This window comes from Homo sapiens, chromosome 13 (assembly GCF_000001405.40).
Source record: "Homo sapiens chromosome 13, GRCh38.p14 Primary Assembly".
In the NCBI taxonomy this organism is placed as follows: domain Eukaryota; kingdom Metazoa; phylum Chordata; class Mammalia; order Primates; family Hominidae; genus Homo; species Homo sapiens.
In genome coordinates, this window is record NC_000013.11 from 90431755 (window position 1) to 90448185 (window position 16431).

The window sequence follows — 16431 nt, forward strand, 5'->3', positions numbered from 1 at the left end:
ACCTTTGCTCAGCTGTCAGTGTAAATGTTCTCAACCTTGTGTTTTGCCAATTGACAAGCTTCAGTCAGGGCAATCAATTCGGCTACTTGAGCTGATCTGGCTTGGGAAAGAGGATCAGCTTCAATTACCTCTGGTAAGGGAACCACAGCATATCCTGCTCTAAAATTTCCATCCTCTCCTCTTAAATAAGACCCATTGGTATACCATTCTATCTCAGCATTATACAGTGGTGTCTCTTGTAGGGCTGTCCTGGGAGTGAGAAGTTGGTTTGTCATCAGAACACAGTCAAGAAGGATTTCCTCAAAAGGGCCCAGCAAGAGAGTGACCAGATTAAGATTATTACAGTGGGAAATGATAATATTTGGAGATGATAAAGCAAAATGTCATAAGAGGTTAACTGGTTGACAGAGAGATGTTGAGTATGATAACAGTTTAGAAGGGTCTCAAAAGAATGCAGTACTGAAATTATAAGGTGGAAACCCATAATTATTTTTTCAACAGACTTGTACAGAAGGGAAGTGGCTGATATTGCTCTCAGAGAGCGAGGCAGCCCTCAAGCCATGGGGTTAAGCCATTGGCCATAATGGCCTATAGGTCTCCAATGATCACCATGTTTCTGGGTCAGTGCCCAGGATGCAACAGCTCCAATTTCATGTACCAAAAAGGAGAAAGGCAATTTGTAGTTAGGATGCCCTAAGGCTGGGTTATTAGTTAGGGTTTCCTTTATTTGTTGTACAGCTGGTTGTCTATCTGGAGTCTCCATGATGGGATCAGATTATTTATTCACTTTTTAGGTGTGCATACAGAGGTTGAGCTATAAGGGAGAAATTTGGTATCCAGTTCCCACAATAGCCAGCCAGCCCCCCAACTTATCTAAGTTGTTTCTTAGTGATGGGCATTAAGAAAGCTAAAACTCCTCTCACTCTATACTCAGTCGTTTGACTGAGATAATATGTCCCAAATACTTAACTTGGTGTAAACATAGCTGAAGTTTGTTTTCGGATACTTTTTGTCCCTTGGTGACTGAGTAAATATAGACTCTTTTCCTGCGAGGAAGAGAGTGTGTCTGAACAGAGGAGAAGGTCATCTACATATTAGATGAGTGCTAAGCCCTCGGGAATAATTGAACCCTCTAAGTCAGCTTTTAAGTTTTTTGGAAAATAAGTGTGACTTTCTGTGTACCCTTGGGGCATTATAGTACACGTATATTGTATTTTCCAAGTAAAGGAAAACAAATACTGGCTGTCTGGATCTACAGGAATACCAAATAAGGCACTGCAGAGAGCTACAATTGAGAAATACTGGCTGGGAGTGGCTATAGCTGATAGTACAGTATGTGTGTTGGGGACTGTTGGGTGTCTGGGTATTACAATATTGTTTAGTGCCCTCTCAAATCTTGTAAAAATCTCAACCCTCTCCCATTTGTTTTTTCAAAACAGTAATATAAGACTGTTGCAGGGGCTAGAACAGGAAATAACGAGCCCTTTTCAAGATAATCTTGTATGATAGGGGCAATTCCATCTATGGCTGTCTGCTGTAAAGGATATTGTTTAAGGTAGGGTAGGGGTATCTTTGAATTTATCTCAACCTTTATTGAAGTGGCTGATAATATTTTTCCCATGTCTGTATTTGATGGGACTCTAAGTGGGAGGGGACACCCTTAAGCAAATGCTCCACTTCTGGGGTTAACAGAAAGATTGGGGAGGCCAAAAAGAGTTTTACCATTTCCTTCCCTTTATTCCAATGTTCTCTCTTCTTCTCTACTTTTTTCTTTTTTGTCTCCATTTCACTTTCCCTGTTGCAAGATGAAATTTCAAAATTACCAGTACTAAATCAAGGTACATTATCGGTACTTTTTAAAATTTGTTAGTTTTAGTTTCCCATCTACAATTCTAAAAAAAGTTCACTATTTGATGAAAAATAGATATGGGCCTTATGGATGTTGAGGTGATCACAGCTTAAAAGATTGATGGGGCTCCCCAGGCATATTAGGAACACAGGAGGCAAACTGAGCATGTCACATTTAGAGCCCTCGGTGGGGGAAAGCTAAATCTGATGAAACAGCAAGGTATAGGTTTAGATTTAAAACATGAGATAGTTTTATTAGACACACCTACCATGTTCATCCTTTCATTACTCCAAGGAATGGGGTTTCTAAATAAGGTGGGATTTATAACATATAGAGTTGCTCCCATATCAATAAGGCAGTTGAGAGTTTATGGTTTATTATTATATTAATCTCTTTCAATTTGTTTGTCGGGGTAGAATATTTGGAAAGGGAAAACCCTTTAACTTCCTCAGAGCATCCTTAGACTTCCTGAATTGCTCCTTCCTGTTCCGGCTTCCATTTCAGCCTAAGGCTGTCCCTTTTAAGGTGTTCTGGTCTTTCAAAGTAGCAACAGACTGGAAGGGAAGAGTCCTCAGACTGAAGGGGCTTAGAATTCTTAAAATTTTTCTGAGGCTGAAAGATCTGAAAAGTTAATTGCTTTAACTGTTAATGCATAGCTAGGGCAGTCTTTTGCTTTACTTTTTTATCATAGTGTGGGCATAATTGGTCAGCGAAGTTAATTAGTTTATTAGTTCTGGCCATGGCCCAATTTGTCATGTGGCATTGTAGAAGGGTGGTTAAATCCTCAACTAGTATGTTTAAGAAATTTGTATTTAATAATGTATCATTTTTATTGTTTTCAAAGCAGTCAGCTCACATCCTGCCATATTGCCTCAAAGTTTTATTAAAGTGAGTAAAATAATCAAAAACTGATTCATTTGGGTTTTGGAAGCATTGCTGGATTTTACTACAACCCACAACCCTTTGGAACACTGAAGGAATGATATTTAACAGAGAAACATGGGGGCAGTTTCCCCCATACTGTTCCCATGATAGTGAATACATCTCCCAAGATCTGATGCTTTTATAAGGGTTTTTTCCTTTGCTTGACTCTCATTCTTTTTTTGCCTGCTACCATATAAGACATGCCTTTTGTCTTCCACCATGATTATGAGGCCTCCCCAGCCATGTGGAACTGTGAGTCTGTTAAACCTCTTTTTCTTTATAAATTACCCAGTCTTGGGTGTGTCTTTATCAGCAACATTAAACCAGACTAATATATACACTAATTTGGACATCTCAAAAGATCCCCAGATAGGCCAATATAACTTAGAATCTGCTTTGGTTATAGTGGTCCACTTGATTAAATATTCACATGACAATTTTCCATAAGTATTTTGCATATACCCAGCCAGAGTTTCTAAGGGTGGAACTTTGTGTTCTGCAGCTGTGGGAGTTTCAGCCAACTTAGAGGCTTCCTTCCCCATACTTTAATGTTCTCTTGCAGATTTTACTAAGTTGGGAAATGTGTCAGACCCAATGTGTGCTGCTTGCAGATGTATCTTTTCAGGGCCATTACTCCCTGAACTGGTCTGCTCCACCTGTGTCATGGCTACCTGGTACAAAGTGTCAGGGGCTCAAGGCATGGGAGGGGTCAGCTCCTTATATGCACCCCCTGGGTGAGATTAGACCCTAAGAGTGTTCTTCTGAGGGGGAAACCTACTTAGATCCACTGCACACCTTAGAGAGCATTCCTCCCTGATATCCTCATATGATTCTTCGTCACCTGAGAATGCCCTAAAAGGTTGAGGGGAGCAAGGTGTTCTTATCTCTTCAGAGTGGAAAATTTCAGATTTATAAGCTAGGAGGTTTAGAGTTGGTCAAATCTAATAAGAGAAGAACTGAAACATAAAACACACACACACACACACACACACACACAAGAAAGAAAACAACACAGAAACAAACAAAACACCTAAGCTAAAGGAACAACAATCACACAAATTACACATTTTGAAGCATTCTAAATGTAAGGAGAAATTAAGACCAGCTAGTTGTTAACACTAACTTTAGTTATTAAAGAGAATCATAACAGAATCCCAATTCAGCTCCTTACCTACAGATGAGGCTCAAGCTGAAGGTGGCTCTCTGCCGATGAAGAAGCAGACAAGCTCACCTTCCCTGGTGGAAGCAACTGGAAACTTCCAGGAAAACGGGAATTTTTAACAGCAATAAAACTTCAGACCCCCAACTAAGGATCCCTGGAGGAAAGAACTTCCAAACCAAAATTGGGCTTATTGGTTTGGGCTATAAAGAGCCCAAGCTGGTACCAAGCACCCATAGGAGAAGCTCCTGCACGCCTGAGCCACCTTCACTCAGGATCCCTCCTTGGTTATGAGATGTTAATCAAGGAAAGTGACCAAGGCAAGTCTCAATTATTTTAGGAGGTTTATTTGCCAAAGTTAAGGACATGTGCCTGGGAGATGGGTCTTTCTCTTCGGGCCTTTCTCTGAAGATGATTTTGAGGGCTTCAAATTTAAAGGGGAAAGGGTGGGATAATGAGAGACACAATTTTCATGTGAGAGGAGGGTAGGGGAAAATAGTCATTCATGTCTTTGTCTAGCTCAGTGAATCTGCGTTTTTACATAATACACCATAGACAGTAGGGCAGAGGAAACAGATATGCATTTGTCTCAGGTAGGCAGAGGTATGACTGAGTTTTGTCCTATGTCCCCACACTTGTGGAGATAAGCTATTAATTTACATTGCCATGGTAAACTAACAGAAATGTTTTAGGGTAAAGATAGTGAGACCCACAACAATTTTCCTGTGGGCAAAATGTGAGGGAAGTATGTAGTTTTCATCTTCGTAGCCATTTTATTTGGGAACCAAAATGGAAGACAGGTTTGCGTGACCCCAATTCTGAGCATTGCTTTTCCCTTTGGCTTAGTATTAGTGAGTTTGGGATCCCAAGATTTATTTTTCCTTCACATTTTGTAACCACTAATCTACTTTTTTTCTGCCTAGATTTGCCTATTCTGAACAATTTTATATAGGTTTTATATAGATTGAATTATTCAATATATGACCTTTAAAATGGCTTTTTCAACTTAGCATAATGTTATTAAAGTTCAACCATGCTGTAGCATAAAAAAGTATTTTATTTTTATCACTGAATAATATTCCGTTATATGACTACATCATACCTTATTACTATTCATCATTTGACGGACATTTGGGTGGCTTCTTGGCTTCTACTTTGTAGTTATGATGAATAATACTGTCATGAACATTCATGTTCAAATTTGTGTGAGGATATACACTTTCAATTCCCTTGAGGACATACATAGGAGAGGAATTGCTGCGTCATATGGTAGCTCTCCGTTTAGCTTACAAGGACTGTTTTGAAAGGTGGCAGCACCATTTCACATTCCCACTAGAAGCATGTGAGAACAATTTCTCTACAACTCCTTTGCCACTGATTCTTATGTCTTTTTGATTATAGCCATGCTAGAGAGTGTAAAGTACTATGTCACTGTGATTTTAAATTGTATATCTCTGGTGACTAGTGATGTTTGCCTCTTTTTAAGTGCTTATATTTTATAACTTTAAAAGTATAATTTCACTGGATATAGAATTATACATAGGATTTTTTTTCTTTGCTACACTTAAATAATTCAGTTCACTCTGTTCTTGCTTGAAAAACCTCTGACAAGAAGTCTGCTCTAATTATTATTCTTGTTTCTTTATAGGCGAAATTGTTTGCTCCTTCTTCTCACTATCTTTATACTCCTTCAAGGTTTTCCCTTTGCTTTTAGTTTTCTACAGTTTAAATGCAATATGATTTAAAGCAACATTTTTCTTTTCTTTTTTTTTCTTGTATGTATTCTTGGTATCATCTGAATTTTCTCGATTTGTCTTTAACTAGTTCTTAGTTATTGTTAATTCAAATATTTCTTTGCCTCCCATTTCTCTTGAAAATTATATATATATATATTACATCTTTAAAATTGTCCCCAAAGTTTCCGAATATTCTTTTCTGGCTTTTATATTCTTATTGATTTTTCGTTTCAGTTTTGGAATTTTCTATGGAACTGTCATAAAGCTCGTTGATTATTTCCTCAGCTGTTTGAAGTCCACCAATGTGTCCATCAAAGACACTCCTCGCTTCTGTGACAGTGCTTTCATTTTTAGCATTTTCATTTGATTATTTCTTAGAATTATTATCTTTCTGCTTACATTATATATTTGTTCTTGCATGTTCTGCTTTCTCCCCTGGATCCCTAAACATATTAATCATAATTGTTTTCAATACCCTGCCTGGTATTCTCACCAAGTGTATCATATATGAGTTGGGTTCTGATGCTCATTCTGCCTCTTCAGACTGTGTTATCTTGTGTTTGTTTTCACTTTTTCTTCATTGTCACAGATATTTTAGATTTTTGTTGAAAACTAGACATGTTTTGGATAATAGGAACTGAAGTAAATATACTGATAGTATGAGAATTAATGTTAATCTGCTAGGAGTTGAGTGTTGTTTAGTGGATGCTGTAGTAAGAGGTTCCAATGACTTGAAGTTCTTCTAGTGTCTTTTTACTTTGTCTTCCCTCTTGACTATGAGTTTCCTAAAATACTCTTCTTCAGAGAGCCTCTGTTTTGCAGCTCTTTTAGCTGCAATCCACCATTATTATACGGGAGCCCTGTTGGCATTAATCCTATGTGAGAGGGGACGTGTTCTGTAACCTTCCAACTAAATACCAGTCTTTTAATTGGCCTGTGTCTCTACCCTGTGACATCTACAAGATTTTCTTTTAGTATAGCTTTTCTCATCCTTAGGTGTGACAGGAAGCTTAGACAGGGTGAGGAAGAGGAGAATATTCTTTCCCCACAGCTCGGCAACAAGGTTCTGGTGAAGCCTCCCCTCCTGGGGAGTAGGTCTGTGTTGTGGACTAGATTCTGGGACTCTGTCCTAAAGATGACTCCTTCTCGACCACTGCCAGAGTCATAGGGGGGTCTTTATCAGCTCCTAATCATGGGATTTTGGTGGGGTTCCTGGATCTCATGAAAGTATAGGACACTTCCTAAGATTGCAGCTTCCAGAGTTTCTCATTCTCAAGCTAGTCTGCACTCAGCCTCCAGCAATCTGTCAAAATTTCATTTAAGTATTCCCCTAAGTTCCAGCAGTTTGTGCTCCAGTGAAACAGATCTTGGCTGTGACGCTCTGGATTCTCCTGTCTCCAGATTTTGGTGTGGTAGTGTTCCCTGCAATTTCATTCTCATTAATTTTCAGTTTTCCAGCTTTTCGTTTTTGTTCTTGTAAGGATAGGACTGACAGTTTCTCAAGCTCTTGACACGTTGGAACTGAAAACAAAAGTCTATTGTGTCACTTTTTAAACCTCTTTTTTCTTTTTTTTTTGGAAAAATCTGCTGTGAAGTTACCCAGTTTGGTAAGTACATGTTGCTGTGTTAGGGAGGATTAGGGTAAAATATATCTACAATGCTCTTATGTACTATGTTAATTAACTGAGTGGTTTACTAAAATCAGGTAAAATGGTGTAACATTGCTTATGCTTAGAACGCATAGGGTAATATTAATTCAAAAAAAGTTTTACATTAGACCTCATGTCCTTCAGTGATAATCAGTCCATCTTCCAAATAAATTTGAAGATGTCAGCAACATAATCAATATAAACTGTAATATTATAATTACAGCATATTCCATTGTATCTTTGAGTGTGCAATATTTAGCAGTTCATGTAGTACCCAAGCTGTCTATGTATATTATTGAAAGTAAGTTTTACTGCCTATTCCCAAGAGAAATTATTCTTTGTTAATGTTTTTTAATATTTTCTTTTCTTTTTGCATATATTTTAAGGCCTAGCTACTAAGCATAGTTAAGTTACATGTATTTCCAGTACAATACACTGCTTTAAAAAACCTTTGAAAAATAATTATGTATTTAGAGATGGAGTCTTGCTATGTTGCCTAAGCTGGATTCAAACTCCTGGGCTCAAGCAATCCTCCTGCCTCAAACTCCTGACTAGCTTTGTTCTCTTTTTTTTTTTGTCCTGAGAGCAAGAATAATAGCATCCATTAATATATTTTACAGCGTTGAGAATGACTTTATACTTTACTACAGCATGGTAAAAATCCCTAAATATTTAATAAATCATATACTAGTGCACTGCAGTGTTTATACATTACTGAGAACACCCGTGTAGTCTATATTGTAATACTCATTCAAACATAATCGTTTAAATATAATACAATCAAGCAAGCTATAGTTACATAAAATTAATGATAAATCTTGGCTAAAATTCAATGAAAAATTCAGTTACAGAGAAGATGCAGTTTGGCAAATACAAAACTAATATAAAGGAAATTATTTCAAAATATCACTTTAAAGAAACACATTTTATTTGTAAATATCATCTGAACTGCTCAAGATTGTATACAGTGTTATGGAAACCAAAGTTCTGGATAAAGAATATAATGCGGCTTGTTAACAATTTAAATGAAAAAAAAAAGTATTGTATTTCTAATTTGAAAGGCAAGGGAAATTGTGCATTCTTACCTAGGGGTATTTGGCAGAAAGACATCTTCTTGTGATTGATATTAATGGGAGTTTCACATGTGTATTTGAAGGAAAAAGAAAACCTCCCTAATTAGTGTTTTCCTCCCATACATTTCATTTCTCAAAAGGTTTAGTTGATGAGCTGTATCAGCAATACAGTTTTAGAAATGTTTACTAAGGAAAGAATGAATCATAAAAACATTTCTTCCTTTGCATTTAGAGAGAAATCCAATATAATTTCATGCATAATTAGAGTTTAAATGATACCATGAAAACACATACTACAAAACAATAAACATAATACACTTCCCATCCCAGAGCTGTAAGCCTTGGAATTTAAAATTATGCTTTATGTAGAGCTAGAAATTAAAATAGATAAATTATTAATGAAGAGAAAGAGAATCTTTATAACTTTCAACATTCATAGATCCATGAAACATCTTAAAATTAAGTGTCTGCCATTAAAAGTATGAAATTATTTGAACTTATTCCATAGAATTATTGTGCAAAAATTTTATAAGAATTGTATGCATCAGATACATTTTAAATGATTTATATTTTATTAAAACATTTTATTTATTGGTTACTATTACCACATCGTAGGTAGATTTTTAGATGTTAGAGTGCCATGTTCTTAGGTTTTAATTGATTTTTAAATCTCTAAAAAGATTCATGTTATAATTATGTGGAAATCATTGAATACATTTGTATATAAAATATCAATTATGCTTTCATTAAAAAAATATATATATATAAAATAATAAGGCTTATTGGAGAAGTCTGGGTCTTCCAGCACTTATTGCTTTCATCCATGAATACCTGCTTTATATTTCTTTATTTCCCTCTATAGCTGTCATTTTAACCATGAGAATCTTTTAAATTAATGACAAACAATATAATAGCTTCATATACAGCATATCTGTTTTAAACAGAATAATGGTCCCCTAAAGATGTTTACATTACAACCCTGCGGGGGCTGGGCACAGTGGCTCAAGCCTGTAGGTAATCCCAGCACTTTGGGAGGCTGAGGTGGGCAGATCACAAAGTCAGGAGATGCAGACCATCTGGCCAACATGGTGAAACCCCGTCTCACTAAAAATACAAAAATTAGCTGGATGTGGTGGTATGTGCCTGTAACCCCAGCTACTCGGGAGGCTGAGGCAGGAGAATCCCTTATCGCCTGAACCAGGGAGATGGAGATTGCAGTGAGCTGAGATCACACCACTACACTCCAGCATTCCAGCCTGGTGATAGAGCAAGACTCTGTCTCAAAAACACACAAACAAACAAACAAACAAAAAAAACAGAGATGTTCACATTGTAACCCTGGAATGTGTGAATATGTTATGGTACATGGAAGAGGGAATTAAAGTTGAAAATAAAACCAAGTTTTCTAATCAGTTGACTTTAAAATAAGATTATTCTATAATTATTGGGTGGGTCCATGTGATTACATGGGATTTTATAAGTTAAAGAGGGAGGCAAGAGGATCAGTGTCCCAGAGATGCTCCATGAAAAAGCTCAGCTTCCAACTCCTGTCTTTGAATATGGAAGAAGTCATGAGCCTAGGAATGTTTACAGACTCTACAAACGGGGATAAGCAAGTAATTGAATTATCCCCCGGGGAATCCAGAAGGATCGTAGCCTTGACAACACTTTGTTTTTAGCACAGTGAGATCTAGTTAAGACTTCTGATATCCAGAAGTTATAGGCTTGTGCTGTTTTAGGCCATCAAGCTTGAAAATTTGTTACAGCAGTAACAGGTAACTAATACAATATCCAAAATATAATTAATAATTCACCCAAACACAGTGACAGAACATGAATGCCAAAGCCCTCCTCCTTCTCCTTTCACACTTCTCACTATTCTAGTTGCATCTTCCTACACCTGATTTCAAGGTTTTAGTTCGTCTTTCTCCAACCCTTACACACTTATATTTAGTCATACATATTTTATAAATTTGTTCAGTTTGTTTGCTTTTTCATTCCCATGTGCATTTCTGACAGCCAGGTTCTCTTTTTCATTCACCTAGATTAATGCAATGGTGCCCTGAAAAATCCCCATGTTTTCTTTTTGAACCAAAAAATGCTTCATATATCTAACAGAGCTGTAGGCTTTTCAATTAAAGATGTGATATTAAAATAGGTCTTCTCATAAATCTTTGTTGAATCTTAGCATATTTCCTATAACATCTAATACAATTGTAGTAATCATGATAACAGTTATTGTTTATTGGATGTTTCACTGAATAAGTAATAGTCATCATTCCAAATATTTTACTTTGATCACTTAATTTTTCCTCTCAGTTATCCTATGGGTTATTTCTCCATTGCATAGATGAAGACATTGAAGTTCAGAAGTGAAATAATTGACCAAACGTCATCCAGCTAAATAGCTGCACATCAATAGTTTGAAATTAAGAATATGTGAATTTAGGCCAGGCGCGGTGGCTTATGCCTGTAATCCCAGCACTTTGGAAGGCTGCAGTGGGCGGATCAGGAGTTCAGGAGATTGAGACCATCCTGGCTAACATGGTGAAACTCTGTCTCTACTAAAAATACAAAAAATCAGCTGGGCATGGTGGCACATGGCTGTAGTCCCAGCTACTCGGGAGGCTGAGGCAGGAGAATCACTTGAACACAGGAGGTGGAGGTTGCAGTGAGCCGAGATCGCACCACTGCACACCAGCCTGGGCGAAAGAGTGAGACTCCATCTCAAATTAAAAAAAAAAAAAAAAAGTGAATTTAACCCACAGACTTATGGAATACACCAATGACGGGTCATCCCCTAAATCACACAAATTTTCCTTTTTTCTCACCCCCCTATAGCCATACAGATTTTCCAGGCTTCTTTTTAGCCTTTCATTGTTTGATAAACTTATTATTTTTCACTTAATAAGAAATGTATTCATATGTTTTCAAAGTAAGTACATATTAAAAGACTTCTAGAAAAAAGTTTCCTTCTTGTTTCATCCCCTCTAACTTGTTTCTCAAATCTTTCAATACTGTCTTGAATTTTATTTTTGTGTTCCCTTCTAATTTTACATGCAAATACAAGAAAATAAAAACATATTTTATTTTACCTTTCTTACAAAAAAGGTAGTATATTATATATAATGTTCAGCAACTTCTTCGTTTTGAAACATTCCCAAACTAAAGAAATGTGAAACATTAGTACAATAATTAACCACATGCCCTTCGATTAGATGCATCAGTTGTTTTGTGAAATATTTGAAAAAGCTGTTAATAGTGTTTTCATCAGAAAGTGTTCCAGAACCATCTATCGAGACACAAAAAGGAACAATCAAATGAATAACTAGGAAAACTTGCAAATAATTCCAGGTTATGCAAGAATCTTTTTCATTCCTGTTATCTAAAAGTAAAGATTTGTCACTTTAATAATATGTCATGTGTTTACCTAAGGGCTTCCACTGCTCAAACATATACCACTCTCCTAGACAATGTCTACTCTTTTTTTTTTGAGACAGAGTCTTGCTCTGTCACCCAAGCTGGAGTGTAATGGCGCAATCTTGGCTCACCGCAATTTCAGCCTTCTGGGTTCAAGAGATTCTCCTGCCTCAGCCTCCCGAGTAGCTGTGATTACAAGCACCCGCCACCATGCCCAATTAATTTTTTTTCGTATTTTTAGTATAGACGGTTTCACCATGTTGGCCAGGCTGGTCTCGAACTCCTGACCTCATGATCCGCCTGCCTCAGCCTCCCAAAGTGCCAGGATTACAGGCGTGAGGCACCATGCCTGGCAGACAATGTCTATTCTTATACCAAGAGTAGCACATTACAGAAGCCTTCAAGCTACCACTATCCAATAGACTGCTGTGAGGGATATTGGAGAAGCCTTCCTCTGGGGCCTGAACATGTGATTTGTGTGATGTGTAACAGTTTATATGTTAGAACCCTGAACAGTATTTGTGTGTTGTGTCACAGTTTATATGTTGGAATCCAGAAGAGGATCTTCTTCCTTGTGTTTAATGACATAAATTAAAAAAAATGAAAAAGTTTGTTTAGAAAAGGCAGAGTAATGTTTCCAACGTTAGAATGAGAATAACTCAAATTTAAGAAATAAATCAAAATAAAATGAAAAAAGAGAACAGAATTGAGTAAACTAATACATTTTTTAAAAAGTGTGAAAATTAAAGGAACTTTTTTAAAAAGACAAAAAGATTTTAACAATAAAGGATAATCAGAACTTCTGAAATTCAATGATAATGATATGTCATCATATAAACTAATAACCATAATAACAAAAACAGCACATTTGAATCTACATGAATAATATGTTTTTTCTTTTCTAACTTTTCTACATCAAATAGCAGATATTAATGGATCAATAATCTCAAAACTGGAAGAAATGTTATATTACCAGGGTTCTCCAGTGAAAAGGAACAAACAAGATGTTTTTATTTACAGAAAGATGTTTATTTTAAGAAATTGGCTCACGTGATTTTAAAGTCTGGCAAGTCCAAAACCTACAGGGTGGACCAGCAGACAGGGGACCAAGTAAGAGTAAGCGAAGGATGCTGTAGTTAAAATGCAGAGGATGTCTAGGAAGCCAGCCTTTTGTTCTCTTCATGTCTTCAGCTGATTGGATGAGGCCTAGCCACATTGTGGAAGGCAATCTGCTTTATTCAGAGTCCACTTATTTAAACATTAGTTGCGTCCAAAACTACCCTCACAGGAATATGGAGACTACTGTTTGGCCACATATCCCAACACTGTGACCCAGTGAAGTCAACACATAAAAACAACCATCACAAATGCATTGCACTGCATCTCATATTCATATGTTATTTGATTATTGTTCCTATATGAAAGTAACTAGATGTTAAGTGAAGATCAAAATTAGCCTGGCTTATAGTAATTTATGAAATTGCATTAGATTTGTGAAATCAATAAACACCATAGATTCAACAAAATACACACACACACACATATATATATACACACACACACATATATATAGTGCCCATTGTCTAGTCAAACAATAGATTAGATGTTGCTGCTTAGGTCTCTTTAAAATAAGATTAATACTTAAATGAGTAACTTTGAGTAAAGCAGATTACCCTCCATAATGTGGGAGGCCACACCCAGTTGAAGGCCTTAAGGGAAAAGACGGAGGTTCCATGAAAAGGAAAGAGTTCTGCCTCCAAGCTGACTTCTGACTCAGGAATGCAACATTAATTCTTGGAATTCCCAGCCTGCTGGCCTGCCCTGCAGATTTCATACTTGGCAGCCCCACAAGCATTTGAGCCAACTTCTTTAAATCTCTCTCTATCTCTCCCTCTCTTTTGATATATCATAGGCACCCGGAACATGTGTTTACAAGGATAATGAAATGGAGGCAGAGGAAAAGAGAAACATTACCAAGAAATATGAGACTACCACTTAAAGAATAATGATCAGCGTATTCTTCTATTGACATCCTGTGACATTTTGTCAGAGAATAGTTGAATCCATTAAGAATTGTTCAGCTACAAGTGACACAAAAGTAAAAGATTGTGGCTGAAAACATTTTAGTACATTTTAAACATCTAACAAGAAGTCGGCAGTTGAGTATTTAAAGGCTAGAGTGTCAAGAAAGCTCCCAAAACCCTAAGCTATTTTTGACATTCTTCCCTGCCATCCTTAGCATATTGGCTTTCTGAACTCATCATGCTTGGAGCTCTATGGCCACAAAATGATCTCCCTACCTCCAGAAACATTGTCTAAAATTTAGGCAAAAAGATATAAAGGTCAGTAACATTATTTGTCCCTGTGTGTGTGTATATGTATACATAAATATATACATAAACACGTGTGTATGTATATGTATATATATATATACATGTACACACACAGGAAAATGTCATGTGTGTATGTCTGTATGTACATATAAAGCATCTCCCAGGTTTCTTCTTCAATTTCTTTAAACAAAGAATCCAATGAAGTCTTAGCTCTATTAATGGCAGAATAATTTATATAGGACTAACCTTCCTACAGATGTAAAATATTATACACCAAACCAATAAAGCCCAACTATTTGAAGGCACTAGATTTTTACCAAAAGTAGTTTCTTCCTTCAGATGATTTAGTCCTAGAAGAACTGTGGTGCTGGAATCATGGGGCAGCTGGAGGTGAACAGAAAGGAACAAATTCGGCATAAAAAAAAAAAAAAAGATACGGAATCCAAGCTCATCGATGCCCCTGTGAGTTGAGAGCCAAATTCTTACATTGGAGAAATATTCCAAATTCTTCTAATAAATATCCTTCAATTTTTTTATGTCCACTAAATTACACAAATGCAGGTGAGATTACAAGAAGCTCAGAAGAAAACAATACCTGATAAACTCAAGAAGCTCAGCGTGTGTCTCAGCTGCTGCTGACAAAAGGAACAATGGAACTTGGAGTTTCATTCAGAGGGGCCAAATTAAAGAAAATAAATTAAAAACCTATTGAAGGCCAGATGCGGTGGCTCACACCTGTAATCCCAGAACTTTGGGAGGGCAATGCGGGCAGATCACCTGAGGTCAGGAGTTTGAGACCATCCTGTATAACAGGACAAAAACCCATCTCTACCATAAATACAAAAATTAGCCAGTGTGGTGGCGGGCACCTGTAATCCCAGCTACTTGGGAGGCTGAGGCAGGAGAATTGCTGCCTGGGAGGTGAGCTTGCAGTGAGCAGAGATCACACCACTGAACTCCAGCCTGGGCAACAGTGTGAGACTCTGTCTCAAAAAACAAAAACCTATTGAAAACACAAAATGGTCACATCACAAGAATAACAAGCATGCCCCAGTCTACTCAATTAAGAAGTTAGTTTCTAACTCACTGAACAGAGAGCCAGCTTCATGGATGAGGGACAGTGTAGACATGTAAGACTGTCTGCTCAGAGAGACCCAATTTTTTACAAGCTTATCTTTGAGCATACTAACACACAGTATCCCTCCCTTACCCTCCTGCTTCCCTGGGATGTGTTCTCCACCATTTCTTGCCCTTGCCCCTGGCACCCTGATTCCTATCCATCCTCCTTCTCCACTCCAGCCAGTTACTTCTGCTCTGTGGCCATCCTCAGCAGGGGCCTGGGTGAAGAAAGAGTGCAGGTCAGGCAAGCATACACCACCTTGTCTGAGGGCAGAGCAGGGCAGCAGCCATTCAGCATGATGGCATATTCAGTGGGTGGCTTGTGTGATCAAGCCTCTCACCCATCTCTAATCTAGATACCAAGCACGTCCTAATGCAGAAGTTGCAATGTTCTGGGGTCACTCATCCACCAAAAGCTGGTTCAGAAAACTTGTTGGGGAAAGGTAGTTACCTGGCTCAACCTCCACTTCCCTCTGTGTGAACATGTTGATCTGGTTTGGTGGCTATGCACTTAGGTATACACCTGCCTGGCCACAGGATGGGCCCCTGGCCACCTGTGAGTGTTTGCACTCTCTTGGCAATCATCTCCTTGCCAAGGTAATGCAACATTAAATAGCAAAAAACATCATGGCAGGCTAAGAGGGAAACTGTGACAGAAAGAAAAAATGTCTTATATTTTGATACCCTTAAGAAAAAATTATTCATGTTGTTCGAATAAGAGTACTACATTTTTATTTTTCACTGGGTCCTCCAAATCATTTATCTGGCCCTTAATGAAAAGGACTCTTTTAAAAATCACTGTGTTTCACACTTTGTCAAGCCCAGTGGTAAATCACCTTCTGTCTTCTAACTCAGCCTCACAGCAGGATTTGTCATAGTTGACCACTCCCACATTCTTGAATTCTTTCCTCCTTTAGATTTCCTCCTGTTTGTGGTCTCTCTGATGTCACCTCTTCTGCATGAACTGCTTAATACTGTTTTGACCTAAGCTTAAGATTCAAGCTTCCTTTTCATTATTATTATTTTTTTCCTATTGACACCAATTTTCCAAATTGATCTCACCAAGTCTCATACTGTCAAATACCATCTGTATGCGGATTGATTCTCCAATTTATATTCAAATTCCACCAAGCTTCCATCAAGCTGTTGACTTGACCTTTCTACATGGA

At 37.4% G+C, this 16431-nt stretch overlaps 1 annotated feature.

Annotated features, from left to right (window-relative positions):
* Positions 13156 to 14355: an enhancer, noted in NCBI's record as "MED14-independent group 3 enhancer chr13:91097164-91098363 (GRCh37/hg19 assembly coordinates)". NCBI's record gives its function as "activates an origin of replication core promoter dependent on BRD2, BRD4, P300/CBP and CDK7 cofactors, and independent of MED14, by STARR-seq in HCT116 cells {active_cell/tissue: HCT116}" and the evidence as "EXISTENCE:reporter gene assay evidence [ECO:0000049][PMID:35650434]".